The sequence below is a fragment of the Homo sapiens genome, chromosome 12 (genome assembly GCF_000001405.40).
Source record: "Homo sapiens chromosome 12, GRCh38.p14 Primary Assembly".
NCBI classification, from domain to species: domain Eukaryota; kingdom Metazoa; phylum Chordata; class Mammalia; order Primates; family Hominidae; genus Homo; species Homo sapiens.
In genome coordinates, this window is record NC_000012.12 from 99,815,809 (window position 1) to 99,830,855 (window position 15,047).

At 35.1% G+C, this 15,047-nt stretch overlaps 1 protein-coding gene across 17 annotated transcripts in view; it reads right to left on the reverse strand.

Annotated features, from left to right (window-relative positions):
* Positions 1-15,047, reverse strand: part of ANKS1B (ankyrin repeat and sterile alpha motif domain containing 1B) — a 1,250,151-nt gene that overhangs the window by 1,081,023 nt on the left and 154,081 nt on the right. For all 17 annotated transcript variants that reach the window (XM_006719514.5, XM_006719507.5, NM_152788.4 and 14 more), the window contains exon 2: positions 9,501-9,581. In XM_006719514.5, coding sequence (XP_006719577.1) covers positions 9,501-9,581 — 81 coding nt within the window. The remainder of the gene's footprint in view (positions 1-9,500; positions 9,582-15,047) is intronic.

The following is a 15,047-nucleotide window of genomic DNA, read 5'->3' on the forward strand; positions in this document are numbered from 1 at the left end:
CAAAAGACATTATTTCCTTCTTTTTATGGCTGAGTAGTATTCCATGGTGTATATATATACCACATTTTATTTATCCACTCATTGGCACTTAGGTTGGTTCCATATCCTTGCAAATGCAAATTGTGCTACTATACACATGTGTGCATGTGTCTTTTTCATATAATGACTTCTTTTCCTTCGGGTAGATACCCAGTAGTGGGACTGACGGATCTAATGATAGATCTGCTTTTAGTTCTTTAAGGAATCTCCATACTGTTTTCTATAGCAGTTGTGCTAAGTTACAGTCCCACCAGCAGCGTAAAAGTGTTCCCTTTTCACCACATTCCCACCAACTTCTATTGTTTTCTTTTTTTACTTTTTAATTATGGCCATTCTTGCAGGAGTAAAGTGGTAGCTCATTGTGGTTTTAATTTTTATTTCCCTGATGATTAGTGACGTTGAGCACTGTTTCACATGTTTGTTGGCTGTCTGCATATCTTCTTTTGAGAAATGTCTATTCATCCCCTTTGCCTACTTTTTGATGGGATTATTTGTTTTTTTTCTTGCTTATTTGTTTAAGTTCTTTGTAGATTCTGGATACTAGCCCTAATTTGCAAATATTTTCTCCCACTCTGTGGGTTGTCTGTTTACTCTGCTGATTATTTCTTTTGCTGTGCAGAAGCTTTTTGGTTTAATTAGGTCCCATTTATTTATTTTCGTTTTTGTTTAAATGTGCTTATTTTAAAATTAAAATTAAAATTAAAATTTATTTTCAAATTTTTGTTTAAATCGAGCTTTACATCTTATTCAAAGATACCAGCTAATGAATTGGTTGAGCTCAGATTTCTAGTGTTAAAACATATTTGTGAAATATAAAGTTGTATCCCTGATCAAATAAGTATCTGTCAGTTTTACTAAGTTATAAGTAGAATAAAGTGTTAATCAGCAAATTATGATTAATCATTCTTATGATATATCCATATATATCCAAAGTAATATGAACTAAATAGGCCATTTTCATCCAGGCTCATTAGAACAATTTAAATTTCATATATAATATCTAAATTAGAAGAGCAGTTAATATAGTGTAGTACCAACTTAGTATTTTTATTGATACATAATAGTTGTATATATTTTGGGGATGCATGTAATATTTTTATATATGCATACAATGTGTAATGACTAAATCAGGATAATTGGGGTATCCATTACCTCAAAGGTTTATCTTTTTTTTGTGTTGGGAACATCACAATTCCTCTCTTCTAGCTATTTTGAACTATACAATATTGGTAACTTTAGTCAGTCTACTGTACTATCAAACACTAGATCTTATTCCTTCTAACTGTATTTTTGTATTTTAATCAAATCTCTTCTCCCCCCCCCCTTTCCTTCAAAGCCTCCTATAAATACCAATTAACTTTCTACTTCCATGAGATCCCCTTTTTTTTAGCTCCCACATATGAGTGAGAGCATGTGATGTCTGTCTTCCTGTGCCTGGCTCATTTCACTTTACAAAATGATCTCATGTCCATCCATGTTGCTGCAAGTGACAGGATTTCATTCTTTTTTATGGTTGAATAATATTCTATTGTGTATATGTGCCACATTTACTTTATCTGTTCACTTGTTAATAAGTAGGTTGATCCCATATCTTAGCTATTGGGAATAGTGCTGCAATAAACTGGGGAATGCAGATATCACTTTGATACCCTGATTTCCTTTTTTTTTTTGGATATGTACCCAGCAGGGGCATTGTGAAATCATATAGTAATTCTATTTTTAGTTTTTTAAGGAACCTCCATACTTGTCGTCCATTGTCATTGTACTAATTTACATTCCCATCAATGGTGTACCTGCATTCCCCTTCCTCTGCATCCTTGCCAGTAGCTATTATATTTGTCTTTTCAGTAAAAATCGTTTTAACTGAGGTGAGATGATACTGTGATTTTGATTTGCATTTCCCTGATGATTAGTGAGGTTAAGCATTTTTTCATATGCCTGTTGGTCATTTGTAAGTCTTCTTTCGAGAAATGTCTATAATCGTTTGCCCATTTTTAATGAAATTATTTGGTTTTTTGCTATTGGGTTTTTTAGTTCCTTATATGTTCTGGCTATTAATCTGTTGCTAGATAGATAGTCTGCAAATATTTTTTTCCCATTCTGTCAGTTGTTGAAGCTGGGAAAACTGGATAACCATATTCAGCAGAATGAAACTAGACCTCTGTGTCTCAACAAATACAAAAATTCAGTGAAAATGGATTAAATATTTACATCTAAGACCTAAAACTATGAAACTAGTAGGGGAAAACACCTCAGGACATTGGTCTGGACAAATAATATTTGGGTAAGACCTCAAAAACATAGGCAACAAATGCAAAAATAGACAAATGGGATTACATCAAGCTTAAAAGCTTCTACACAGTATTTCTTTAAATATTATTTAGGTTGAGCCTTATAGCTTACTTTAAGGTATCCACAAAGGAACACATCGCCTGTGCTTGGTCAACTGGCATGAAATATTCAGTCATTGATTGATGAGCATTTGGGTTGGTTCCACGATTTTGCAGCTGTGAATTCTGCTGCTATAAACATGCGTGTTCAAGTACATTTACTAATGTAACCAAATATCACCTGGACCACAATAACTTATTGAAAAATTAATGTTAAAAAATTCATTGGGACTGTGAAAAAAGAAATATTAAGTTACATTGCTAATCAATATCTGTAAAATAGCAAGCAGCAAAATAATCCCTATGTCTTAAATGTAAAGTAGCATTTTCTGATATCCAGCATTTGACAAATAACAAATACTCTAAAATCCTAAAGCAAATGTGGTTGACAAGAAAATAGAAAAAATATTTTGGAAAATGGAAATAGAAATGGAAAAATACTTTCCATTTCCCAAAAACAAAGTAAAACATCAAATTAAATTTAATAATATCCAATGTAAATAGCTGCAATATTTTGCAGCTTTAAGCTAATACATGTAAGTTCAGTTAAAAACAGGAATTCTAGAAGTATTGACTTTTGCTGCTATATTTAATTCACATCCATTTTCTGAAAGATATAAATACACATCTGATTAATAAAAAATGTATTTCGGTAAGTTCAGCATATGCTCTGAGCAAAATTAAATAAATTGGGAAGAGTCAACCTTCAAATTTCTTTGCCTCAACAGCAAGATTCCCTGTAATTAAATCACAACCAAAGATGTTTATTTCATACCATCCTCTCTTGCTTGTTGATTGAGTCCAAAGAATTTCAAAATAAATGCAAATCATCTTCATATGGATGCAGAATTAACATCTAATGAAACTCTCAAATTTAATAAGGTCCTTTTGATTTCAGATTTTCTTGACACTTTTACTTCTCTTTAATGGGAATAAAGTTGCAGATGTGTTCAAGATGGTCAAAAGATTTCAGGACAATACGTCCCATTTTCTAACTGAAGTTTCTTTACATGTTGAATTCACTCTCATAGATTTCTAGATTACAGAGTGAATAAAGGCAAATTTTAAGTAGTCTGTATCCTTATCCAGGAAAAAAAGCAAGATGACTAAAGATGTTTCTAGTTATTCAAAGAGCAACTTCAGAGACCAGATTATACAATTTTTAGAGGAGGTATGCCTCTTTTATTAGAAAACCTAAGAAAGATCAAATCATACAGATAGCTTATTATATGGATTCTAGATCCAATTTGATACGCAATCTGGATTACAGATAATGAGATCTAGCATGCATTAAATACTTTAAAAGGTAGAAGAATAGAAAATATCTTATGTGTATATAAAACAATATACATATTTCAGAAATACAATAACGATCTGCTGATATTTTTCAAAACAGCATGCAAGTGTCACAATATACCAAATATAGTTTAATAACATTAAACTTAAGAAGAAAATAAGGAACTATTTGTTAAGTAGAGAAGAAAAATTGAATTGAAATATGAGTATACAGGTTTAATATAACCTCACAGGGAAAGATAAGATTATTACTAAAAATAATGGATGAAAAGAAGAGAGGAGAAAAGTCAGAAAGAAGGAAAAGTAAAGGAAAAAGGAATGAGGGGACTAAGGAAAGCAGAGGAGAACAAGAAAAAAAGGGATGAGAAGAAGTGGGAGGCAGGGAAGGAAGGTAGAGAGGAAGGCAGGTAGTCAGGCCAGCCAATTGCTTTTCAGAGGAGAATTAAGGGATTTGAATTTGCAGTAGAAATACATGTGACAATGAATCCTCCATATTTTAAAAAGAGAAAAAGATACAAAGAAATAGCTCTCTACTCTATCTATGGAAATAATTTATAATACTTGCAGTAAATTTTGTTTTATTAACCATGATTTTTTCCTATCATTTGATGGTAATAATTTTCTAATCTGTGATTACAAATAACCCAAGAAATCACCAGTAGAGTACATTTTCCATTGTGTCCTGATCTGGCTAATTGAAGATGAATATGAAATAATGCATTTCAGGTACAAAATGCTGCTTCATTTGTGGATTAACTAGCATTGATAAACAATGGCTCCCAATGAAAATGTACAAAATTGGGGAAACTGGTTTAATTTTCAGTATGAAGGCTTTAGATTTTATGTTGGGGGTAGGGGGACAGTTTGTGTTCAAAGCAAAAGAATAAACTATATGATCCCGAAACATTACTGCTGGCTTTATGATTCTATGAACTTTAGCCTACCAATTATAATGTTTATGGAAAAAATCTAGAGCAGATGGATACAACAACAGCGACAAACATGGAAATGATGTGTTTCTGTGCAGACTGCTAAGGCTTGCTTGGGAAGAATACAATATAATCATTGTTAGTTACCTCTGCTAAGTGAGAATGCAAATAAAAGAAATAACCTTCTTCTCTGGCTCTGAGATACAGTCTATGACATTATTTTCTCCCTCAAATATCTTTTAAGCCAATATTAAAATTAGCATTCCATGTAAACATATGACAAATGATTATGGGAGGCAGGCCAGAAATATATAATGTGACAGAGAAGAGCCAGGGAGAGTTTAACAACAAAGGGGAGATAATGCAGAGTACTGGTAAAAGCATAGACTTAGAACCAGAACACTTAAGCTCTAGACACAACCCCACTTTAATATCTATGTGGCCATTAAGTCACTTAACTAAATGGGCATTGTTTCTCCATCTATAAAATGAGGGAGCTGAGGGGTGTCAGGTAGAAAAAGTGATCTCTAACTGTACAAGTTCATAGATTATTTAAACTTGCAAAATCAAGAAACATACACTCTATATGAAATTCCCAATTTCAGAACTGTAGCATCATAGTGCATAACTGAGCCATAAATAATACCAACACAGTGTATCATTCAATGTTATCATTGTAAGAAACAATGGAGAATATCAAGCCAATCTATTCAAGCTATTGAACTGAGGCCTACAGATGTTAAGTAAATGGTTCAAGGTCACACAACTAGCAGAGATGGGGAGATGGGGTTAGAATCTTCCTGCTTTTTCCAATGCCTATAGGATGACACTGAAAATTAAAAAGAAAAGATAAATGAGATCTTTCAGACAAAAGCACAGACATATAATTCCCACAGACTATCTGTAATTAAAGGGATCTTTAAAAATAGCTAATCAAATTATCTGTTTGTGAGAATCTTAATGATTGCTATTCAATTTGCTTAAATTATCTTTATTTTCTAAATCACCAAAAAAAAAAAAAATTATGCCATGGGCCATAGAAAAACATATCTCAACAGTTAGAACTTCATAGACTGTCATGTATAAATCAGCATTTACTAAATACTTCACTGAAAATGAAGGAGGGATATGAATGCTAATCCATTTTGGGACAATATTACTTTAAGAAGTGCTTACCTACCAATGCCAATCTGAGAAAGAACAAGAAAAGTAGTATGCCTCAAATGAAAGGTCAGGCCCAAGATATCCTGCCCATTAGATGTAATAGAGTTTATCTTCCCAATTAGAACTAAAAAATATGATAGTAGCCTGAATCCATAATTCAGATAGCCAAGAAGCCATCAGGATTATATTACTTGGGCTGATTTGTCTTTGTTCCTGGTGACTCAGGTAAAAAAAGAATAACAACATTCTCCTTTAAAATATTTAGATATCTGGACATACTTTCCATTCTATAAAGGAAGAGAAAAAATTAGAAGATATGGCAAAATATTTCTAAATGAGATGATATAAGACAATATAGAATAGGAACTGAATAAAAATAAATACAATTTGGGAATTCCAATTCTAAAAATCTAAATAATGAAACAAAGTTTATAATAGTTTATGTAACTCAAATGATTCTCTAAACAGGCTGATGGCATTAAATTTATACATTTTAAGAGAAAAATGTCAGTGATCAATAATGACAAAAAAAATGTCTTGCATTAAGAGCTTTATGACCACCAAACCTAAGATTAAGTATGAAGAAGACCCTTGAGTCACCATTCACAGAATAAAAGAAATGTTAGGTGAAAAAACAAAAGGTAACTACCATTTCTACTTTTTAAAAAATAATTTCAACTTTTATTTTAGATTCAGGGGACACATGTGCAACTTTTATTTTAGATTCAGGGGATATATTGTATGATGCTGAGGTTTGGGATACAATTTATCCCATCACCTTGATACTGAGGATAGTACCCAATAGTTTTTCAACCCTCCCTACCCCCTCTAGTGGTCTCCAGTTTCTATCATTGCCATCTTTATGTCCACAAGTAGCCAGTATTAAGTTCCCACTTATAAGTGAGAACATGCAGTATTTGATTTGCTGTTCTTCCATTAATTCACTTAGAATAATAGCTTCTAGCTGCATCTGTTGTTGCAAAGGACACAATTTCATTCTTTTCATAGCTGCATAGTATTCCATGGTGCATATGTACTACATTTTCTTTATCCAATCCACCACTGATTGGCACTTCAATTGATTCCATGTCTTTGCTATTGTGAATAGTGCTGCAATGAGCATGCAGGTGCTTGTGTCTTTTTGATAGAACAATTTACTTTCTTTTGGATTTATACCCTGTAATGGGAATGCTGGGTAGAATGGTAGTTCTGTTTTAAGTTCTTTGAGAAATCTCCAAACTGCTTTCCACAGAGACTGAACTAATTTTTACATTCCCACCAACAGTGAATAAGCACTCTCTTCACTCTATAAAAGATGCCAACATTTGTCATTTTTTGACTTTTTAATAATAGCCATTCTGACTGGTGTGAAATGGTTTCTCTGTGGTTTTGATTTGCATTTCTCTGACGATTAGTGATGTTGAGCATTTTTTCATACACTTGTTGGCCACTTGTATATCTTCTTTTAAGAAGTGTCTGTTCACGTCTTCTGAGTACTTTTTAATGGGATTATTTGGTTTTTGCTTGTTGAATTCTTTAAATTCCTTATAGATTCTGAATATTTGGCCTTTGGTAGATGCATAGTTTATGAATATTTTCTCCCATTCTATAGTTTGTTTATTGATAGTTTCTCTTGCTGTGCAGAAGTGCTTTAGTTTAATGAAATTAGGTCCCACTTGTCAATTTTATCTATTTATTTATTTATTTTTGAGACAGTCACCCAGGCTGGAGTGCAGTCATGAGATCTCTGCTCGCTGCAACCTCTGCCTCCAGGGTTCAAGCGATTCTCCTGCCTCAGCCTCCTGAGTAGCTGGGATTACAGGCACATATCATCGTGCCCAGCTAATTTTTGTAATTTTAGTAGAGACAGGGTTTTGCCACATTGGTCAGGCTGGTCTCAAACTTCTGGCCTCAAGCTATCCACCTGCTTCGGCCTCCCAAAGTGCTGGGATTACAGGCATGAGCCACTGCACCTGGCCTCAATGTTTCTTTCTGTTGCAATTGCTTTTGAAGTCTCTATCGTGAAGTATTTGCCCAGTTCTATGTCCAGAATGGTGTTTCCAAGGTTTTCCTCTAAGATTCTTATAGTTTGAGATCTTACATTTAAATCTTCAATCTACCTTGAGATAATTTTTGTATATGGTGAAAGGTTAAGGTCCAGTTCCAGTCTTCTGCATATGGTTATCCAGCTATCCTAGCACTATTTATTGAAGAGGGAGTCCTTTCTCCATTGCTTATTTGTTATCAATTTTGTTGAATACCAGATGGCTATAGGTGTATGGCTTTATTTCTGGGTTCTCTAACCTGTTTATTGGTCTATGTGTCTGTTTTTGTACCAGTACCATGCTGTTTTAGTTAATACTGTAGCCTTATGGAATAGTTTGAAATCTGCTATCATGATGCCTCTGGCTTTGCTCTTTTTGCTTAGGATTGCTTTGGCTATTTGAGCTCTTTTTTTAAATTCAAAATGAATTTTAGAATAGTTTTTTCCTAGTTCTGTGAAAAATGACATTAGTAATTTGATAGGAATAGTACGGAATCTGTAGATTGTAACTAGCACTTTTAAAGCAGTAATTACCACATCTAAAAGACTAAAGTGAGGGCCAGGCGTGGTAGCTCACAATCGGCACTTTGGGAGGCCAAGGCGGGCAGATCACGAGGTCAGGAGTTGAAGACCAGCCTGATCAACATGGTGAAACCCCGTCTCTACTAAAAATACAAAAATTGGCCAGGCGTGGTGGTGGGCATCTGTAATCCTAGCTACTCAGGAGGCAGAGGCAGGAGAATAACTTGAATCCAGGAGGCGGAGGTTGCAGTGAGCCACGATTGTGCCACTGCACTCCAGCCTGGGCGAAGGAGTGAGACTCTGTCTCAAAAAAAAAAAAAAAGTGAAATGAAATGATACAGATCTGGGAAAACTAACTTGGATCATTCACACAAAGGGAAAACAGAGACGAGGGGGAGATAAAGGAAGAGGGTCATTTTTTTTCTGTAGGGGAGGACAGAACATCTGAATCATTTGGAGGACTCATCACACTTTAACTCTGTCACTAAACCATTAGGATACCTAGCTAAAATACTGGAAATAGAGATTGTTACGGCTACACACTCTTGCACTCTCCATAACATATACTATTACATTATTTGAAACAGTTTTACTTATTAAAAAAATTTAGGGTTGGCAAATCTAAAACTAGAAAGACAATCATGAATGACAAAGATAAAACATTTTAGCTAAATAAGGATTCTGAAGTGGTTCATATAAGTGACCAGGGCTCAGAATAGTGGGAGTCATGCTAAGTTTACACTCCTAGTAAACACTCCTATGTTGGGTGAATACAAGGAGACACCAAAAAAGGTAAAGGGGTGTTATCAAGTGGTTTTATCCCATTCTCTCCCCCAAAGATACACATGACTAGCATGGTCCTGTCAATTTTTCCATTCTCCCAGTGTGATAGGTTGAGTATTTTAGAGCATTTCTTTCAGCTTACACTCTGCACGCAATTATACTCAGCAACATTCCTACCAAGTCTAACTTGTCAGTGTTGTCACCTGGTCCCTTTCCAAATTCACCTAAGCCCATTGGACTCACAGAGACATGAGAAAGGTATCGTCAAGACATAATTAACTTCATCACATGTAACTAAATACACACGATTCCGTCCAAATAAGTGGCACTTACTTATGTCCATTTAAGGCTGCGTGGTGTAAAGCAGTGTAACCCGAACTGTCTGTGCAGTTCACATTGGGGCCTCGCCAGATGCTGCAAATAAAGCACAAGCGCAGAGTTAACAGTGAAGCCAGATCTTGCCTTGAAAAACAAAAAGAAGGCTGGTAGCCCCACAGTCAGCAGCAGGTTGTAGATAAAAATTTTAGCCATGTGGAAAATGATTGCCATCTTCTATGAATTCCCCTCAGAACATCAACTTCATTTATTTGATAAAAGGAAACTAATAGAGAATGCAACTATTAATATCTTCAGAAATTATTAACAAATGTGTGTCCATGGTCGTGCACTGAAGTTTGGATCCAAAAATTCCCTATTACTTTCTATCGTTACTTAAATATTAGAAGCAACTAACATTCAGCTACTATATTCCATACCAAAGAATAAAGATTTATGAGACCTGCCTCATGCCTGTTAACACACTCCTTCTGAGGTGCCGGTGATTTATATAAGTTATAAGATATTTTTGCATTGTGGGAAGAATATAAAGTCTTTTTGCTCTTCAATTGCAACCAGGAAAATGTAATCAATATTTCATACTTGAAAATAAAATTGAAGATTTGGACTGTTGTAAACCATGAGAAGATCCTAACAATTTTGCAGTCATCATTGATTTTACTATGCAATATATTCTGGAGATAACATGTAACTATATAAAAGAGTCTATTTTTTTTTTGATAACTACAATTAAGGAAACTCTTTTTAACTTTTGGAAAATAAGGCACTGAAAGACACTTTTCCAAAAATAGAACAAAAAATTGCTTTATCTGATGGTCATAGTGATATCAAAACTATCAAAGATAAACTAGTTCACACATTCACAAAACATTTATTGTACACCAACTGTATGTCACATATTGAGCTAGGCACTGGGAGCACAAAATCGTAACTCAAGGTCCTTCTTTACAAGAACATAGTGTAATGGAAAAGATAGACACACAAGCTAATAATTACAAAGTGGTAAGATAATCAAGGTACCAGACAGCACACAGGCATCTCTGAAAAGAGAATGAATAGCTATTCCAAACAAGGGGTCATGGCAGACTTAAACTAAGGTGGGTCAATGAAAATGAATGGAATGTGCTTATTTGACAGTTAATTAAAAGAAGAATTAATGAAACACATGGATCAATTGGAAGAAGGTGGGAAACTGGAAGCAGTAGTCTAGAGATGACTCAGACTTTAGGCTTACATGACTAGAAAAAATTACAATATTAACTAAGATGTGAAATAAAAAAAGAGCAAAATCTGCTGCAGGGAAGACAATGCAGGATGGAGAGAAAACAATGACTCCTAGTTTGCAGACGTTAAATCTTAAGTCTCTGACTTACTTACATTACATAGGTTCAATGCAATCCCTATCAAAATCCCAATGGCATTCTTTAGGAAATTGAAAAAAAATTCTAAAATTCATATGAAACCATAAAAGACCCCAAATAGCCAAAACAATTCTGAGAAAGAAAATCAAAGTTGTATGCCAGGCTCAGTGACTCATGCCTGTAATCCCAGCACTTTGGGAGGCTGAGGAGGGAGGTTCACTTAAGCTCACTAGTTTGAGACCAGCCTTGGCAACATAACAAGACTCCATGTCTGCTAAAAATAAAGAATAAAAAAAATTAGTCAGGTGCGGTGGTGCACACTTGTGGTCCCAGCTACCCAGGAGGCTGAGGTAGAAGGGTTGCTTCAGCCTGGGAGGTCGAGGCTGCAGTGAACCATAATCATGCCACTGCACTCCAGCCTGGGCAACAGAGCAAGACCCTGCCACCCCCACAACAAAAAAAAGAAAGAAAGAAAAATGGAGGCATCACACATCCAGATTCCAAATTCAGGGGATATATATACATACAATAAAATATTATTCAGCCCTAAAAAAGAATTATATCTAAACATTTTCTATGACATGAATGACCCGGGAAGACATTATGCTAAGTGAAATAAGCCAGACACAAAAAGAAAAATATTGCCTGAAAATATACGGAATCTGAAAAAAAATCAAATATACAGAGATAGAGAACAAAAGATTGGTAGGGGGAGTAGAACGGGGGAAATAAATATCAGAGGATACAAAGTAGCAAATATGTAGGATGAACAAGTGTAGAGGTCTAAAGTACAACATGAAGACTACAGGTACCAAAATTGCACTGTATACGGGATTTCAGCTACGTGAGTAGATTTTAGCTGCTCTTGCCACAAAAACAAAAAATAAAGGGTAACTCTGTGAGAGGTGGTCATTTGTTTCACTGTAGTAAACTTTTTTTTACTATCTATATGTATCCCATAACATGTGTATACCACAAATATACACAATAAAATTTATTTTTTTAAATACCACAATGACATGCTACTATATAACTATCAGAATTGTTATCTTTAAAAAGGCTTCACAAACCTATATTGACAAGGATGTAGATCAACCAGAATTCACACACACACTGCTAATAGGCATGCAAAATAGTACAACCACTTAGTGAAACAATTTGGCAGTTTCTTAAAAAGTTATATACAAATACCACACATAACTTACCATCAAATCATACCATACAAATAACATACAAATACCATATAATCCAGTCATTCCACTGTAGGTATTTAGCCCAGAGAAATGAAAGCATATGTCCATAAAAAGACTTGTACATATAATATTAATAACAGCTCTATAGGTAATAGCCTAAAACAGAGACAACCCAAATGTCCATTAGCTGGTAAACAGATAAATTGTGATATATCCATACAATGGAAATAAAAAGAATTAAATACTCAGAAACAAAAGGAATTAAATACTACGACATTGGTTGAAAATCTAAATCAATTAGATTTTCTCAGGAAGAACAGCAGAATGGCTGCCCTTCAATCTCCCCAGCAGAAAGGGAGACATTCTCTGGCACAGATAAAATGCATGATCTCTGGACTAGACCCCTGATTGGTAGCCTTCATCAACTTCTGTGATGTAAATACTTCAACTTAACGCAGTGATAGGAAGAGATGCTAACAACTGCACTTCACAAGCAGACACAAGCCAATCCAGCACACCATTCAAAGGCCTACAACCAACAAGTCCCAACACTATGAACTCAGAGCTTCCCATGAGTTTTTGAAAACCTCCACTCTCAAATATGAACAAATAACCAAAGACATCCAATCACTTGAGGAAAGCCTTTACTACTAAAGAAACCAAAACAAAAAATTAGGAACAAACTACAGAAAAAAAAGAAACTTAGAGAAAATTTAGACTATGCATGGAGAAGAAATTTTCAAAAACAGTTATCATTAATATCATCTCAATATTAGAAAAGATAATGAATGTAAGAACAATGAAATAAAAAAGAAAATCAGAGATAAAATCAGTAGAAGAATTAAAAATAAAGCTGATAAGGCCAGGCATGGTGGTTCTCGCCTGTAATCCCAGCACTTTGAAAGGCTGAAGTGGGCAGATTACCTGGTCAACATAGTGAAACTCCATCTCTACCAAAAATACAAAAATTAGCCAGGTGTGGTGGCGCACGCCTGTAGTCCCAGCTACTTGGGAGGGTGAGGCAGGAGAATCGACTGAACCCAGGAGGCGGAAGTTGAAGTGAGTCAAGATCGCACCACTGCACTGCAACCTGGGTGACAGAATGAGACTCTGTCTCAAAAATAAAAAGTAAAAAATAAAGCTCATGAAGTATCTCAGATACTTAGAAAAAAAAGGCAAAGATATAGACAAATAGAAGGGAAATCATAAGAAAAGTAGGACACCGATTTAGCAGTTCCAATATTGAAAAATAGAGGTTCTTAAAGTCAAAACACAGAAAACAGGAGAATGAAAACAATGAAAGACATCATTTTAAAAATTATCAGAACTGAAGGACATTAATTTACCAAATAAAATGTACATGGGCCAGTCGCGGTGGCTCACGCCTGTAATCCCAGCACTTTAGGAGACCAAAGTGGGTGGATTACCCGAGTGAGGTCAGGAGTTTGAGACAAGCCTGGCCGACAAGGTGAAGCCTTGTCTCTACTAAAAATACAATAATTAGGCCGGGCGCGGTGGCTCACACCTGTAATCTCAGCACTTTGGGAGGCTGAGTAGGGCGGATCATGAGGTCAGGAGATCGAGACCATCCTGGCTAACATGGTGAAACCCTGTCTCTACTAAAAATACAAAAAAATTAGCCAGGCATGGTAGCGGGTGCCTGTAGTCCCAGCTACTCGGGAGGCTGAGGCAGGAGAATGGTGTGAACCTGGGAGGCGGAGCTTGCAGTAAGCCGAGATCGCACCACTGCACTCCAGACTGGGCGAGAGCGAGACTCCGTCTCAAAAACAAACAAACAAACAAAAAATACAATAATTAGCCAAGCGTGGTGGTGCATGCCTGTAGTCCCAACTACTCAGGAGGCTGAGGCAGGAGAAATGCTTGAACCTGGGAGGCAGAGGTTGCAGTGAGGCGAGATCACGCCAGTGCACTCCAGCCTGGGCGACAGAGTGAGATTCGGTCTCAAAAAACAAAAACAAAAACAAAAAAGGACCAGGATAGCTTTGATAAAAAATAAAAATAAAAAAAAGACAAAGAAATAACTGAAGTGAGTCCGATACGGTCTTTTAAATTTCAATTAAACAAACAAACCAAATTCCTAAAACACCCATCCAGGGCTATTCTCTTAATTTAAATTTTTCCTCTTTCAACTCTAGTTACACTAACAAGTCTTCACTATTCAGGAAACCTAGAATGAAGAGAAATTATTCATACCTATTACTTCTACTTCAATCTGCAATCTTCAATTATTAATGGACACTCTCCAAGTTCTAAGTCCAAGAAAATACAAGTCCAAGAATCAAACAAAATAATGAATAAGATATCATCTCTTCCTCCAAAGAGCTGACAATCTAATAGAGAAAAATATATACAGATAAATTACAATATAGGCAGTGACCATAGTTCCTACAGCACAGAAAACACCTAATAATTGTTTGTTATCAATCTTCTTGTTCTTATTAAATAAATGCTACAATAGAAAAATCTTTAACTCCCTAAATTAATACATCTGTTCAACAAAAATCTCTATGGAATATTTTACGGAAAACTCAACTAAAAGTTCTAAATTTGATTTAGAAGAATTTACGGGAAAAAAAATTGTGAAACAAGAAGTAATAATGGGATCTACATACTACCAATTATGAAAGCATATCATAAAACAATACCAAAAAATGTTAGTCTAGCACCAGAATAGAGAGCTCAATGAATATAAGAGAAGCCCTAGAAACAAACCAGTCATACATATAGGAATAAAGCTGACATCTGAAAGAAGCAAAAAAAAAAAAAAAGGAAAACATCATTCAATAAATAGTCCCGAGAAATATGTTTTAATTAATGGGAAGGAAAAAACAATTTCAATTCCCTACCCCATACCATTTAGCAAAATTTAATCCACATGATTTGTTCTTGACTTCTCAAACCTCATTCCTACCCTCTTTTTCTCACACACCCTGTTCAAACCACACAGGCCTCCTTAAAAATATAAGTAT